Here is a 16,048-nt window from a genome sequence, read left to right on the forward strand (position 1 = left end):
TGTCATTTCCATGCATTAATTTCAATATGATTAAGAGAGGATGGAGACCACTATGTTAAAGAAATTGTTTTCATATGTTAATTTGTTATGGTATTGTATGTGTTTTCAATTGTCTTCTGATGCACTCACACACATATATATAATGTAGTGCTTTTATATTAGTGAATATAGTTCATCATGGAGCCCTTTAACAAGAGGGGTTGAAGAAAGCTAAAAAGAATAAACTGAACAATAACAAGGCAATTACTAAAGGTTATTTTTTTCTCCTTGGACTTCAGATTTTTTGTTGTTGTTTCAATAGGAAGTTATTTCCCTTAGAGCTCAATTTCTCCTTTAACTTGGTGATTCTTTGATATCCTAGAACTGGATTCCATTTTTGTGTGACTCTTCATAGAATTGCATAAGATGAGAGAAGCATACATTTGATTTGTCCATGAACTGGTTTTCATCAAAGGAGAATGACCGATGCATTTACTAAAAGAGTCAGAAAAAACTTTGATCAGAAGACCAAAGAAATAGGAAAGATTAAGTATAGACAGACTTGCCTCGAGAGGAAAAATTCTGACTGAAACAGCAGAATTCTCACACTGTTGTGGATACTTTGCCCTGATCAAGTTATTCATTTTTATGTGTTGAAATAGGTAGGGATAGAAAAATGAAAGATTTGAAATGATTAGATATTTTTGGTGAATCTAAGTGAGATAAAAGACAGTGATACTGGTCTAGTCAACAGGAAATAAAACTTAAGAACTGGAGAAATTATGTCTGTTTGTGGCTTCTCCATATTTCCATTACTTGCAATCATTTCTTTGCAACAAGTTTTTCAACAACTTTTCAGCGATTTTTTAAAAATGTAAAAGTTGACTTTATGTTTTCATAGTGATAGCTTCCATCAACAAATCTGGCAGGGAATTGTTTGCATAGGGTAAAACTTAATGAAAGAGAAAAAGAATACTTTTTGAATGGTAGAATCTTTGCAAACAATATAATATTTATTTATTTATTCACTTATTTAACAAGCACTTCCATAGATTATATTTAGAAGCAAACATATTTCAGTATGTCCTGACAAAGATAATGCACGTAATACTCCTAATGTCACTATATGGTAGATATGTTCAGTCCCACTTCATAGACAAGAAAGCAAAGCCACAAAATGATAAATAACTTGCCCAAATTCCAAGGATAATAAATGGTGACACAGGCAATTTGATTCCAGGATCTTACCTCTTAACCACTACACTACGTTCTTTTATAATACTTAAGTACACATTGAATTTTGTTGAAACTTGTTAAAAATCCAAAATAATGTCTACTCACCACCATTGGTTATAGAAATTTCAAGCTACTTCACAAGTTAGCTGTAACTCCACTTGATGTCTCAATGTTGTTGCATTAAAGACATCAACATCAATCATCTTTTTGAAAGATTTTTGTGGAAATCATCCGACATACTGGGATAAAAAGCCAAACTGAGGTAGAAACAGAGGTCGGAATGTGATTTAAAAAAAAATAATTCATAGTGGCCAGGCATGCATGGTGACTCACACCTGTAATCTTAGCACTTTGGCTGAAGCAGGAGGATTGCCTGGATCCAGGAGTTTGAGACTAGCTGGGACAACAGAGTGAGAACCTATCTTTATTAAAAAAATATATATATATATAATTAAATATATATATAATTAAATATATACATATGTAAATATTTCTAGGAACTCACTTTCATAGGTTGTTAGAATTATTGATTCATTCTATCCATACAGACTATAGATTACTTATATTGTTCATGTTTCTGATTTTGCTGTAGGTGGTACAATAAGTAATTCTTGAAGAATTTATAGACTGGCTGGGGAAAACAGCATTAAAATACTTGAAAAGTTAAATACTAACACAAGCAATGGAAAAGTACAGTGTGATTTACAAAACTTATACTTGGTTTGAATTTTCATGAATTTCCTACTGATCTATAGAAATATATTACATGCTATATCCTGTGATATAATATTTAGATGTATTTGTGGAATGGCTTATGTTTGCATTAAATTTATCGTGTACATAAGTAAAAAGTTTCAAATGATTGGAATCACTTTTCTGGGAAAATTCATTAATTTTAGAATGTTATTGTGAAATGTTTCTGTGGTACATAAATGCTGAAGATATAACTTTGAAATTAAATTACCAACATAGTCACTTTCAGTTATCAAATTAAGTTTGAGACTCTGTTTATAATACACTCATTATCTGAACCTGGAATAAATTAAAGAAGAAATATGAGAATTCAGAGAAGTTCAAAGTAAATTTCATGTTTGTATAGAAGCTGAAGATAAACATTTTACATTTTATTTACCTAATTTATGTACTAAAAGTTTCTTACTTGATTTTTATCAAGTAACGTGCATTATTTACTGTATTTTTGTATCTTTTATTAGTTTTCTGTGTCAGCCATAACAAAGTATTACAAACTGGATGGCTTAAAAAACCGAGATTTATGTTCTCATAGTTCTAAAGGCTAGAAGAGCGAGATAGAGGTGTTGTCAGAGTTCAGTTTCTTTTGAGGTCTCTCTCCATGGCTTGCAGATACTTAGGGCGGTGTTCTCACATGATCTTTCTTCTGGTTCTGCACATCCTTGGTTCTGTTTGTACATCCAAATTCCCTCTTAATATAAGGACACCAGTCAGAATAGATTAGGGTTCAACCTAATGGTCTTATTTTTAATTGAATTGCCTCTTTAAAGGTCTTATCTCTAAATACAGTCATATTCGGAGGTTCCAGAAATTAGGGCTTCAACATAGAAATTTTGGAGGGACAAAATTCAGCCCACAACACACATCATATACACTCAAGGCTTTAGTAGATTCTGCTGACAATGCATATAAAAAAGAATACATTAATTGGGCTTTGCATGGTATAATGTAATACAGTGTTACGATATAATGTAACGTAAAACAATCACGTATTAATTGTAAATCACATCAATAATGACTGAGTGAAAGAATTTGTAGGACATAACAGTACCTTGTGGATTTGGGCTATTCTTTCACCTGTGGCATGAAATTGCACATGGTTTTATGGAAAAATGTTTTCCAGCTTGACCTATGGCCACAGAAACCTAAAGAAAAGAAAAAAAATCTTTATTAAAGCAGAACAGGTTTTAGTTATGTATGAAGAAGAGTAACAAGTGAAAAAATACTGGCAGGATTACTGGAGAAGTTTTGCAACTTTTAGCTTACTTTTTGAAAAAAGATTATAACAAAACCTATAACCAGGAGGCTTTACAAGTTTATGAGACTTACAGATTATCTTTTCTACCACTCTTTTAGACACCTTGAACATTCGATTGCATGAATAGTAATGTCTACCAGCAACCCTCTGCATTTGGACATTATCAAGTCAATGTTTGATTAACGCAAAAGCATACCAACCAATATGCCATTTGAGTTTCTTCTGATCTTATCTATTCTTTATATTGCCAGTGAAATAACTAACCTGTTCAGGAAATTTCAAAGACTCAGTTTCCATGGCTGGGGCTGAACTCAACAAAGCACTTAGCTGTCTCTGTTACATATCTCTACTTTATCTCTCATTAACTTAGAAGTCTAATTCCAACTTCTGTCAATTCAACAACTTCAGTGCTGCTGAAGCAAATAATATTTAGTTTGTCTTTTTGTGTTTCTTTTCTGGAACCTCCACATTTTAATGTATTCTTTATTGCCTACACTAATTCTATCTATATTTTAAGATACAGTGCAAACCACATCTTTTTCAACACATTTTCTTAGATTGCATTTATCTGTGGGCATATCCTACTTATAGATCTCATTTTATGATATTTTACTTTGCTGCGCATATTAACACTTATTTTTTACTATTTTATATTACTTAAGAGTTTATCTTAGTTCATCTCTGAATTATTAAAATAGTTCAAAATTTGAAAAAAGTAGACTTCAAAGACACACAGCCAGGAGTTGTGATATTATCCCTGTCAATTGTGAATAATTTTGGGACATTCACTTAATCTCTCTAAACTGAAGTGTCCTCATAGCGACAATTTAGTGAATAATGTCTGTTTCATATGATTGATTAAATATATGTCATCACATAATACCTACCAGGCAGTAGTATTCTTTTCTGTCCTCATTTTTCCATTTCTTTGGCATTCTTCACATTTCCCAGGATTTTATTTAGTTTTTTTATCCAACATGGAGCAGACACTCCAAACTTCTTTTTTTTTTTTTTTTTTTTTGATGTCAATCTACTCTAGGTATTTCATTCAGAAAGGGATTTAATATAGGAAATTTATTATGGAAGTGTTAGAAAGTAGAAGGACTTCAGGAACAAAAATGAATAAAAAGAAGGGCAATGTTACTCAGAGTATAATAAGAGCAAATAGTTATTACTATCCCCTAGGCAGAAGTAAATTAGAAAAAAGCAATATTATCTGTGGATCACTAATTATAAGAAGCTGTCATTGCTCATGGGGCTGAGGTAAGGATGAGAGAATGTGGTATTTCTGGGAAAATAACCCACATTTCTTCTAATGCTGAAGAAATCTCCTACTGACAGTAATTAATCACAGTCGAGATGGAAACGGATCAGGTGAAGTTTAATTTTCAGGCTTTCAGTCTTGTAGGCATAGCACTATGCTTGTCAGCATTTTTAGGTTATTCTATAGCAGCAAACAGCCACAGGATATTTGCGGTTTATAGCTATGCTATATTTCTATCTCTGTTACATGTTGGCAGCTTCAATGTAGTTGAAGGTCTTCTCCATGTGTCTTCTTTTTCAGGCTGCAGGAGTAACATATTTTGGATATACCATTTTCAGTACAGAGTAAAAGAGCAAGACTGCTGATAGAAACACACACAATGGCTTTTAAAGTTTCTGCTTTGAACTGGCCTTTGTCATTTCAACTCACAGTGTGGCTGGTTGAGTTTCATAAAGGAAGGGTATAGAATTTACCCTTTTATGGGAAAAGATGTAAGCTCCTCTCATAAATAGAGGAAAATGTATTTGAGAACAAAAATGTTATGCACCACAATGCATTTTCCTGGTCACAAATACTCACTTGCCTTCTTTCTCCCTCTTTATGCAAAATTCAACACAGTTTTTTTCATGTAAAGGACAGTGTAAAACCTCCATTCAAGCTCAGCAATGAATGACCCAAGGTCTTCATATAGCCTCTACATGGAATACATTTTGGTTAAGAAACTAAAATTTTAAAGGAAAAAAAAATGAGATTCTGTCTTCCAAATGCCCAAGGCTTAGTGATTAAACAGAGATAAAATGGCAATAATAATTACTCCAATTCAGAAGCAGCAAGAACTGAAAACAGATATCAGATACTTGTTAGTAGAAATTATAAAATATTGCTCTTAATATAGCCCCTAACTTTGAAGTAGGGAATGTTCCCAATTGAGCCTTAGTTCTAGTTCATGAGAGTTGCTTCTTCCTTGATTCTTGACTCTTGACTCCACTCTCTGAAAAATTCTTCCTTTTCCATTATCCTTCCTGGTCATATACAAAGAGGACATTAAATTACATGACTTCTTTAGAACCTGAGAGATTTTTTCCCACCTTCATTCTGCCATGGAAATTTGACAGCCCAAAGTTTATTGTACACCTTGAACAGCCACAATATCTTTTAATTTAAGCTAGTAGCTTTTTTGGCAGTGCAACTCACTCAAAAACTCTGCCAACAAAGTATTTATTTGATTCTAGTCAGGGTAATTGTGCTAATAGCTTGACTCACAATTCTTTCTGAGCTATGCTTCTCCCTCTAAACTGAGATACAGGCCATTTGAGTTGGCCAGTTGTTAGGGGAGAACACCATACCATCAGTCTCTTTATCCTGAGACATTTTGTCCATTGAAAAGAATTTCTAGGGTAAATTAAGGGTGCTACGCTTGTTTTATTAAACAAAGGTTACTGATAGTTACCTACTGGATTTGGTCTTTGCTCTGTGGCTGAACCTTAATTTATTTTTTAGCTATTCCATCCCTCACCTTTTAAGTCCTAAAATTTCTGGAGTCTCCCTTCTCCATCTTCAGCCAACACTTTTCTAAGCCAAATTAGTTCCTGTAGCAGTTGGTCAAATGTAGCTAATGTCAAAGAAAAATATCACCAGATGGAGTTAAACAGGCAAGAATATATCAGTTGAGGCTATTGCAATAGGGAGAGATACTGAACACAACTCAGCTGGAAAACAGGCAGGAGAATTTTTAAACACTAGGGTAAGTGGAAGAGTTTTGGAAGACATTGTTGGGAGGTTGGTCAATGTAATTAAGACTACTGTGTTTGCTCATTGGCACCTATATTCCTATAGAGACTGGGAAACAGGAGCTGTATGTTTGTTGATGATTGCACATGTCAAAAGAATGGCTTCCAGGTCCTTGAAAAAGAGGTTCCTGGGCCATAGAAGATGTGCATCACAAAGGGGCAGAGAAAGAATGTACAATTGCAAGTCTTCTAAAGTAAATGCTTTAAGAGAAGGAAGGTCAGGAACTTATAGTCAGAAAGAAACCTATCTAAAGTTTAGTCAAGATTAGGGGAATGTTAAGGCTGTCTTGGTCACTAAAAACAATTGTCTCCTCAGTAACATTACTTATTCCAACCTTCATGTGATGAAATCTACAACACATTCAGCACATTATTTGCCTTACAATCATCATAGGTAAAAATTTTACAAAATATTTTGCATCTTTAACTCATGATGTGGCTGCTTTTTAAAGATTCAATAACAGTTCTGAACTTACCTCCTCCCCTAGCCCCAAAAGCCAGTGTCACATATTTTAGAGGGATATTATGAAAAAATCTCATTTCAGTGTCAATTTTATAAGGTTTTACTTCAGTTACCACCTGAACATCTCCATGGCTTATACACTGTTTTATTTCTCACTCATATTGCATATTGAAGCTAAATGTTGCATGTGTCTTCTTTCCATAGAGCTTCTATTCTGGAACTTGATATGAAAGAACAGGCTGTATTTGAGACACACTATTCTCATGGCAGATGATGAAAACAAGAGTAAGCAATAATATATAACAGCTAGTTAAACTACTGCTTGGAATTTACTTGCATCACTTCTGCGCACATTTTATTGACCAGAGAAAGTCAAATGGTCACACAGCTGACAATGGAGTCATGAAATAAATTCCTGCCATAGGATGGCCCCACAAGTCACATGGTCAAGAGAACGATGCAAATTTCTCTTACGGAGTAGGAGGCTCCTCTTCAGAGACTTTCAGAACTAAAATGCAACCAATTATAAGAGCACACTGTTGGAAGGGGCATGAGGGCCTGAGAACCAACAGATGATAACCTGTATTTGATTTTTAAAACTTTGTACCAAATTTGTCTTACCAATATTGATTGCTTTGCAGATTGCTTCTGCAAAACTCCATGTGATTTTGTAATTGGAAAACATTTGGGAAATCAATTTTTCAGTGAGTAGTTTAATGTGTAAGTTCATTTGAGTGAGGTCTTGGTCAAGTGGCAGTCAGTTGAATGAACTGGAAAAGATCGCAGAATAGTATTTGGCTCAAGCCAATTCATTTTATTTTACTGCTTTCATCTCTGGGTTCATAAATATTCATGACATTTGAACATGGAAGGGAAATAGGTTCTACACAGCTTGTTTTATAAAGTGGTACTTCCAAATTTTTTCAAATAAAAACAGACAAAAGATGCAATTGCATTTAGATCCATGCCAGTTATTTCAACAGAAAAAAAATTAAGAGAATGTAAGATTATACTTCACTTAGGTTTAAAGAAAATAAGAGAAAAATAACCTCTCTATGATGTCAATTTCAAGCTACTCTCACACAAATCCCAATATCAAAATTGGGTTAAGCTTCACCATTGGGGTAGTGGAATTGTGGCAGACTACGTTAGATGGTAAGGTGCTGGTCAAAGGCCAAAAATAAAGGTGCACTATTTTTCTAGTCTGTATCTAGAGCTGTCTGAATTAGGAAAGTGATTAGAGTCACCACTCTGGGGAGTTGTGCCACAGTCATTGAGAAATAGAGGAAAAGCAAAATAGATCACCAAAGAAGGTAGTCACAGAAAGCAAGAGATCTAGTAGGAATTCGGGGTTCAAAGATGGTAAAAGTCACAATTTGGAAACAATAGGTTGCAATAGTAATTTTACAATTTTACAGTGTTTGTATGGATTCACTGATGTGATTTTCTAAGTCACCTGTTTGAAAATGACACATTGAGTTCTTCAATAAACCTCGACTCTCAGCCTCATATAACATACTCAACAGCTAAAATGCGGTTCATATTTTGAGGTCTATCTCAGAATAGCAGAGCGTATATTTAGCCTATTTCCCTACTGGTGGTTTTTAAAGTATTAAAATAGTTTTTAAATATTGAAATGTTTTTATGCTAGTTGGTAAATCGTCACTAGCTGAACTGCTTGAACATCCCTTCCTTTCTGGATTTTTGCAGCCCCTCCCTCAGGTTTCTCAGTCATTGTCGTGATAGACTAAAGAATGAATGCTTGACACGGGGCACGATGTGGGGACATCCAAGCTTCTGCTTTGGAGCTATGGCTGGTTGTTATTATTTTATTATCAATCTCTTCTATTGATGTCTGTAATGTACTATGTAGTGATTATTAAGTTTGGTCCCTTCAAATCATAAGTCACAATCACTCCTTATATCTGTCATGCTCACTAGTCATATTTTAAAAAAACACACATTTAAAACACTGTTAGAGTCTTACTGATTTATGTACATATGATACGTATGTAGCTCCTGTAGGACTGTGCATTTTTTAGGACAGCATTCATAAGTGATTTGCCTTTTAGTTTTCTCATGGGTTATACAATACTGATCACTTATCTGCTTATTAAATATTTTCTGGTTGAAAAATGAATTCCAAATATTGATAACTGGTGACATTGTTGCTTTAGCTACTTAGCTGAAAGGCTGCTCACAATATCCTTAATTTGTTAATATAAATGCCATGATGTAAATCATTTCAAAAAAGGAGAGAATAATCACAAATAAAAAAACTAGACAAATGCAATGCATCTTTTTACAAAATAGGCTAGCTAGTTCTAGAAGTTGGTTGCCATCCCTTGAAGTTAAATGGCAGTCAGTTAGTGAACAGAAAATTTGTGTATATGGAGAACCCCTACATCAAATATTCCATTATTTGAAAAATATAAATATTTTTACTGCCTATTGAGGTGTTCATTCTTTTAGAAAAGAAGAAAATCTTTGTATTATATCATGAGGAATATTTATTATTTATTGTTATACATAAACTTTAAAATTCTAACCAAATATTCATTGTTATATTATCATAATTATAGTAGAACTATTTCTGTATAGTATATAGTTGTGGGTATACCAATTCTATGCATAGTAAAATTAAGTATATTGGTGCAAAAAATAATATTTTGCTTCTTGTACATAAGTCTTAGTCATATTTACTTTTTAAAATATTGGCATTGCAAATTTTGCAGTCCCTTTTGTAAAGAACTATCCTGGAAGGAATTGTCAGACACTTACATGCTGCATTTGCTGGTTAGTAGTGGTTGGAAAATCATTCTTCTTGGCAGGGAAGCTAGAGGGAAATAAAAAATTAGTATGTTTGAATATTTTAACATGCCCCAAACCTCTGTGTTTTTTCACTCTTTCTCTCCCTGTCTCTTTTTATCCCTCTTTTACTTTCACTTTCTCTTTAACAGAGAAATATAGGGATAAACATTATATCATGTGTGCGTTATACATTAATGATTGCCACATGAAGATCCCCCCACACACATATGTAAAACAAACAAACAAAACCATTGTTTGCACACACTTGAAAACAATAAGGAAGCTACAAACATCCTAAGAGTTCTTAGTCATACTATGAATTGTTTATGGGTTGAGCAATTGCTTCATCTGAATTTTTTTTCTCTGAAAATATATTGGTTTTAAGCTATTTGCTTATTTTGTATTGGGTGTCTAATAATAATAATATAGTAAACATTTATTTAGAACTTACCAAATGCCATACTATCAGCATATTTTATCTTTATGATAATCTTATCACACAATGAGCCATAATTATCCTCATTCTATAGATGAGGACAATTAAAGGAAGAGTTTGAGCGATTTGCTAAAGGTCTTACAGCTGAGAAGGGGCAGCACTGTGATTTAGAGCCACAAATTTTCAGCTCTAGAGTCCATGATTTTCAGAGCTACAATATACTTCTTTTTCCATGAACATGCTAAGTTTACTCTGGACACAAATTAACCCTCTTGTGTAGAAAGCTTTTTTCATAGTGCTCTGGTGTCTGAGCAGTAGCTACATTAAACTCCAGGTCTCCTTGACTTCTTCTTCTTTTTTTCCCCGTAGAGAAAGGATCTCGCTATGTTGCCCAGGCTGGTCTCAAACTCTTGGTCTCAAGTGATCTTCCCACCTTGGCTTCCCAAAGTACTGAATTGCAGGCGTGAGCCACTGTACAAGACCTCCTTGACCTCTTCAGTCTGATTTGTTATACTTCTGTGTCAACCCCGCTAAAACTAAACTTTACACTAGCGGAGACTGCGCTCAACAGTTTCTCAAACAGTATTATAATTTTATTGTTGCTTGGTGAGAATTGACCTTATCTTCCTTCTACTTAATTGCAAACTCTTTGAAGAAAAGAATGACATATCTTATTACTCACCACGGCTTTCATTAAAGTGCCAATAGCATAGTTAATGCCTCATACTTACTGAATGATTGCAGAAGCATGAACTCGGGAGGCTGAGGCAGGAGAATCGTTTGAACCCAGAAGGCGGAGGTTGCAGTAAGCTGAGATCGTGCCACTGCACTCCAGCCTGGAGACAGAGTGAGACTTCGTCTCAAAACAAATAACAAAAACAAAAACAAAACAAACAAACAAACAAACAAAAAAAAGAAGCATGAACTCATGGACACAATTATCAAATCCAGGCCCACAAAACCTAAAATATTCACCAGCGAGTCTTTTAAAGAAAGTCTGCTGCCCCTTATGCTAAAAAGTAAGTTAAATCTTTTATTAGCTGAAGTTTCTCAAATTGTCACCTACCATGTGTTCTCTGTCTCTTTGTTCTAGACTACATGTAGATTTTTGTCTTTATACTGTTTTCCTCCCATTTCTCACATGTATGTTTTATCCAGAGGCACAATTAGCTCAATAAATAGACCTATTACCTTGGGGCAGGGGGAGGGTGCAGAGCTACATGTGTTGGGACCATTGAGAAGAACTGGAACACCTAGGAAACATAAAGTAAAAGACCCCAGGATTAGCTTTTTTGGGTAAAAAAGAGTTTCAGGTTTTATGCTTATGTTTTAAAGAGATGAGTAGAAATATTAGAAAAACGTACAAAGCTAAAATATATATTTCTATTGTGTGGGAGTGAACTCAGAAGATGAAGAGAAAAAGGAATATCTATTTTCCCATTAAATGTCAGTGAATCCTACTAAAAGGCAAATCATCCTATCAAATGGTTACTTCAAAGATTTCAATAATCCTGAATAAACTAGTATTGACTGAATATCAAAAGAATTTTGAGCCTTGACATAGATTAACTAAGACTTTCAGGAGACTTGAAGACTGATCTTTACTTAAACATTTTCCCTGAACATAACTGTAAGTGACGAAGTTTAGTAATTGGGGTTTAGAGGCAATTATTGCTATAAAAAGGTATTGTCAGTGGGAAAAGAAACTCTGGACAATGAAATAACGTCATTATTTCATGAGCTTATCTATGAACCTTCACAATATACATTGAGATCGGTCCAAATTTAATGTCAAAACCATATATTTATTTATATCATTGTGGATTGTTTTTATATAAATTATAAATAAAATAAGAGGGTAAAAATAGAAATTTTCAAATCATGGGTCTTCTTTAGGTATATACAGAGTGAAAAGTCTACTTTTCAGAACACATAAAATACTTATAAAATGGTTTAATCAGAGAGCTGTGGCTTTCTGTTGATTTTTATTTTTTCTCATGATGTATCACTTAAACATCATCAATTGTATATATAATCCAACTTTTTAAACATATTACTACACGTTCTATATTATTACCATTTTCTTCGTAGGTAAGCCGCATCATTCTATTTTCCTGGGACTAGGTTTATTTTTAAAATTAACATCTCATGGTATCTTTATCATAACATTTGGGCCCATTTGCTTTTCTTCTACTTCTGTGGCTACATAGCAGATAATTCAGGAAAAGGCAGAAAGAATAATAAATCTCTAAAAGGCATATTTGACCCAAATGTTAATGCTCAGATATTAATGATGACAACAACAAATATGTATACTTAGCCTTCCACCAATGGTATACAAACCTTTATATCAGATATTTTACAAATTATTTTGCTATGAACCAAACGTACATTGATATATTATTCTATAGAAATTACTCATCTACCCATAAAGGGAATTTGTAAAAATTCTTATTCATTAGATTGTAAGGTGTGTTATGCTTTTTCAAGGGCATTATATTTTTATCTTCCTTGGAACTGATAATGTAATTAAGCAATTTATCTGTTATTGATCCAGTTATTAATTATTATGCCACCCTTATATAAATATATTTCACCTAATACACTCATATATTTTATAACATTTGACCAGGGAGGAAAATAGAAGGAAGCAGTTTATAAACTTGAAAGAAAGCCAAATAATAAAAGGGTTCATACAATACTTTTGTCTATGTATATTTTTATTAAATTATAGAATGTACAGAAACATGGTCTGCTCTAAATTCTCCATGAGTTTATTGCATATTCTACATATGCAATCTTGCAACCCTATTGATTACTGTACAAACTGAAAACGCTAAAACTATTAAAACGTTATCTAACTTTACTTCAGTGGCAGAATATTCCATGAGCCATGCATTTGTTAATGATAACTCATTATCTTTAGTGTTAAAGTAAGATGGCTTCTTAGAAGGAATTTTGTCTGCTGATCCATAGTGAAAGCAAAATAAATATTTTTCTTTGTTTTAAAGTTGATTGCCTCTAGAGATTTATAATGACATGTCTAGAAGCCATCACTTCCTCTCCTGAGCCACAGTTTGCACTGTACTTGATTCAACATTTCACTAATTCCTTTACATTAAAAAAATGTAATATTTAATTTTTTTTCAAAGTTGTTTTTGTTTGTTTGTTTGTTTGTTTTGCGATGGACTCTGTCATCCGGGCTGGGGGGCAGTGGTGCGATCTCGGCTCATTGCAACCCCCACCTCCAGGGATCAAGTGATTCTCCTGCATCAGCCTCCAGAGTAGCTGGGATTACAGACGTGCACCACCACCCCTGGCTAATTTTGTATTTTTAGTAGAGATGGGGTTTCTACATGTTGCCAGGCTGGTCTCGAACTCCTGGCCTCATGTGATCCACCGGCCTCAGCCTCCCAAAGTGCTGGGATTACAGGCGTGAGACACCACACCAGCTTTTTTTAAACATTTTTGATCTATGGTTGGTTGAATCTGTGGATGTGAAACCCACAAATACAGAGGGCCAACTGTACCTATTAATGTATTCTTCATTTTTTATTCATCTCTTAGCTGGGCTATGTCTTTTTTTTTTTTTTTTTTTTCCTTTTACAGACAGGATCTCACTCTGTCATTCAGCTAGAGGTCAGTGGTGTGATCAGAGCTCACTGCAGCTTTGGACTCCTGGGCTCAAGTCATCCTCCTGCCTCAGCCTCCCAAGTAGCTGAGACTACAGGCTAGTGACACCACATCTAGCTGCTTTTTTATTTTTTGTAGAGACGGAGGTCTTCATATGTTGCTCAGGCTTGTCTCAAACTCCTGGCCTCAAGCAATCCTCCTGCCTAGGCCTCCCAAAGTGCTGGGATTATAGGTGTGAGCCACTTTTCTCTGCCTTGAATTTTTTTTCAAGAAAAAAACATAGGTGGCTTTATTAGCTAATCTCTTCACAAATGAAGTTGATTGGGAACTAAAATTAATACGTTGCAAACATTTTCCAACCTTAAACTCCTTAAATGTCAGTCTTTAGATGTCTTCTACATTTAATGTCCCAAAGAAAAAGACTAGTTAGGTTTTCTTCGTGTTTTGGTAACCTATTTTGTATATTTTTTTAGCAGTTTTTCTTGGAGGTTTTGTTTGACTCAAAATGATCGAGAAAACATTCACTAGTATAGTAGGGTGGTGATTTCTTTTCAATAACTTTTCTTGGTGGACTCTGAATCCTTAATTTACAACTTCAGTCTTTCTTGTATTGTAATGTGTTTGAATACTTCCTCTGTTCAATTTTTCCAGGTTCTTTGGACATCATTGGGTTGCATTCTTCTAGTCACCTTCCTCTAGTCACAGTGGCTTGACCACACTAGATGTGGTATAATTTATTTTGGTTGAATTTTATAAAAAGCTGAGGTAAAAGCCATACAAATGCAGTAATAGGTGAGGAATAAATAAGTGAGAAGAACAGGTTGATACTGTAATTAAATTGTATTCTGAAAAAGAGAAAATAAGCTAAAACAATTTCTAAAGCAACATGTAAGTCACTATCACAACAATCTTGCAAAGTAAACCTTGTCTCATATAATTTTTTCAATCTCCAAAGCATAATACTTGATGTCTGGAAACATATACTATAAAATATTAAATTAGTCAATGCTGCAAATATATTTGAACCCTTACAGTGTTAAAAATCCCATGGAAATATGTGCCATGGATGTGAAATATTTAAGCCCCACAGGAGATTAAGGTGTAGTGGGAAAAGGTTAATGTGTAGCAGAGCATGATGAGGGAAACATAGAAATAACCATGAGTTAGGGGTAACAAGTTTCTTAGGTGAGTCATAGAGAAAGCTTTAAGGCTATTTAGAGATGGAATAGATTGTATCCCACCAAGAGAATGGAGAAAGGCTTTGTAATGGAGTGGTTATTACTAAAATTCTCTGTGCCTCAGTTCCCCATTTGTAAAATGAATATAATAATGGTACCTTCCTCAAACAGGGTCATAAGTGTTAAATTAACTGATAAACATAAAGGTTTTAGAGGAGCCCTTTGGCACATAGTATGCGCTCAACCAAAGTTAACTAACGTCATCATGACTGCTACTAATAGTATTATTTGAGAAGGAACTTGACAGGTACAGTAGAATATTCTAGGTTTAGAGACAAGCATGGAAAAATAAAAGATTCAGAAAACCAAGTGTATTTTTAGAAACTGCAAAGAGCATAGTTTGAGTAGAACATAAACTGAGGGAATGTAAGAAAAAGTCTTGTTTGAAAACAATGCAGGTTTTTGTTTGTTTGTTTGTTTGTTTGTTTTTCTCTGAAACAGAGATATTTGTTCTTGTTGCCCAGGCTGGAGTGCAGTGGTCTGATCCTGGCTCACTGCAAACTCTGCCTCTCAGGTTCAAGTGATTCTCCTCCCTCAGCCTCCCGAGTAGCTGGGATTACAGGCATACACAGCCATGCCCAACTAATTTTTTGTATTTTTAGTGGAGACGGGGTTTCACCATCTTGGTGAGGCTGGTCTCGAACTCTCGACCTCAGGTGATCCACCCACCTCAGCCTCCCAAAGTGCTGGGATTACAGGCGTGAGCCACCGCACCCAGCAACAATGCAGGTTTTAAAAATTATGTTTATTTTAGGTTATCAGAGAACTGTGAATGTTTATATTCTTTGATTGAGGCCCTTCATTTCCTCTATTACAGTGCTTCTCAAGCTTAAGTGTGCACACCCATCACTAAGGGATCTGGTCAGATTCTGACTCAGGAAATCCTTGGTGAGGCCAGAAATTCTACATTTCTGACATCTTCCCAGATGATGTCTATGTTGCTGTTCGAAATGCCACCCTTTGAACCTGCTTACTTATTTGTCTATAAGTCCCCACTGAAATCGCTGTGAGCACAGACTCTATGTCTTGTTCATTATTGTATCTTTAGTGCCCAACACAGTGCTCAGCACACAGTAAGTGTTCAATAAATGTTTAGTGAATGACTTAATAAATGACTGGGACAATTAATACAAAACATAAAGGTATAAAATTTTTTTAAAAATTTTATTTGTATAATCTTAAAGGGTACA

At 34.5% G+C, this 16,048-nt stretch overlaps 1 long non-coding RNA gene across 3 annotated transcripts; it reads right to left on the reverse strand.

The window, feature by feature from the left end:
- Positions 1 to 220: 220 nt before the first annotated feature.
- LOC105374547 (uncharacterized) lies at positions 221 to 10,744 on the reverse strand. Of its 3 annotated transcripts, XR_925516.1 has the most exons (4): positions 10,719 to 10,744; positions 9,522 to 9,576; positions 3,017 to 3,110; positions 221 to 474 (listed from the first exon to the last, which is right to left on the reverse strand). It is a non-coding gene; the product is annotated as an uncharacterized LOC105374547 (long non-coding RNA). The 3 variants fall into 3 exon arrangements; XR_925513.1 differs by lacking the exons at positions 9,522 to 9,576; positions 10,719 to 10,744 and adding an exon at positions 4,111 to 4,234; XR_925515.3 differs by lacking the exons at positions 221 to 474; positions 9,522 to 9,576; positions 10,719 to 10,744 and adding exons at positions 2,402 to 2,656; positions 4,111 to 4,234.
- Positions 10,745 to 16,048: the final 5,304 nt, after the last annotated feature.

Source organism: Homo sapiens, chromosome 4 (genome assembly GCF_000001405.40).
Source record: "Homo sapiens chromosome 4, GRCh38.p14 Primary Assembly".
NCBI classification, from domain to species: Eukaryota; Metazoa; Chordata; class Mammalia; order Primates; family Hominidae; genus Homo; species Homo sapiens.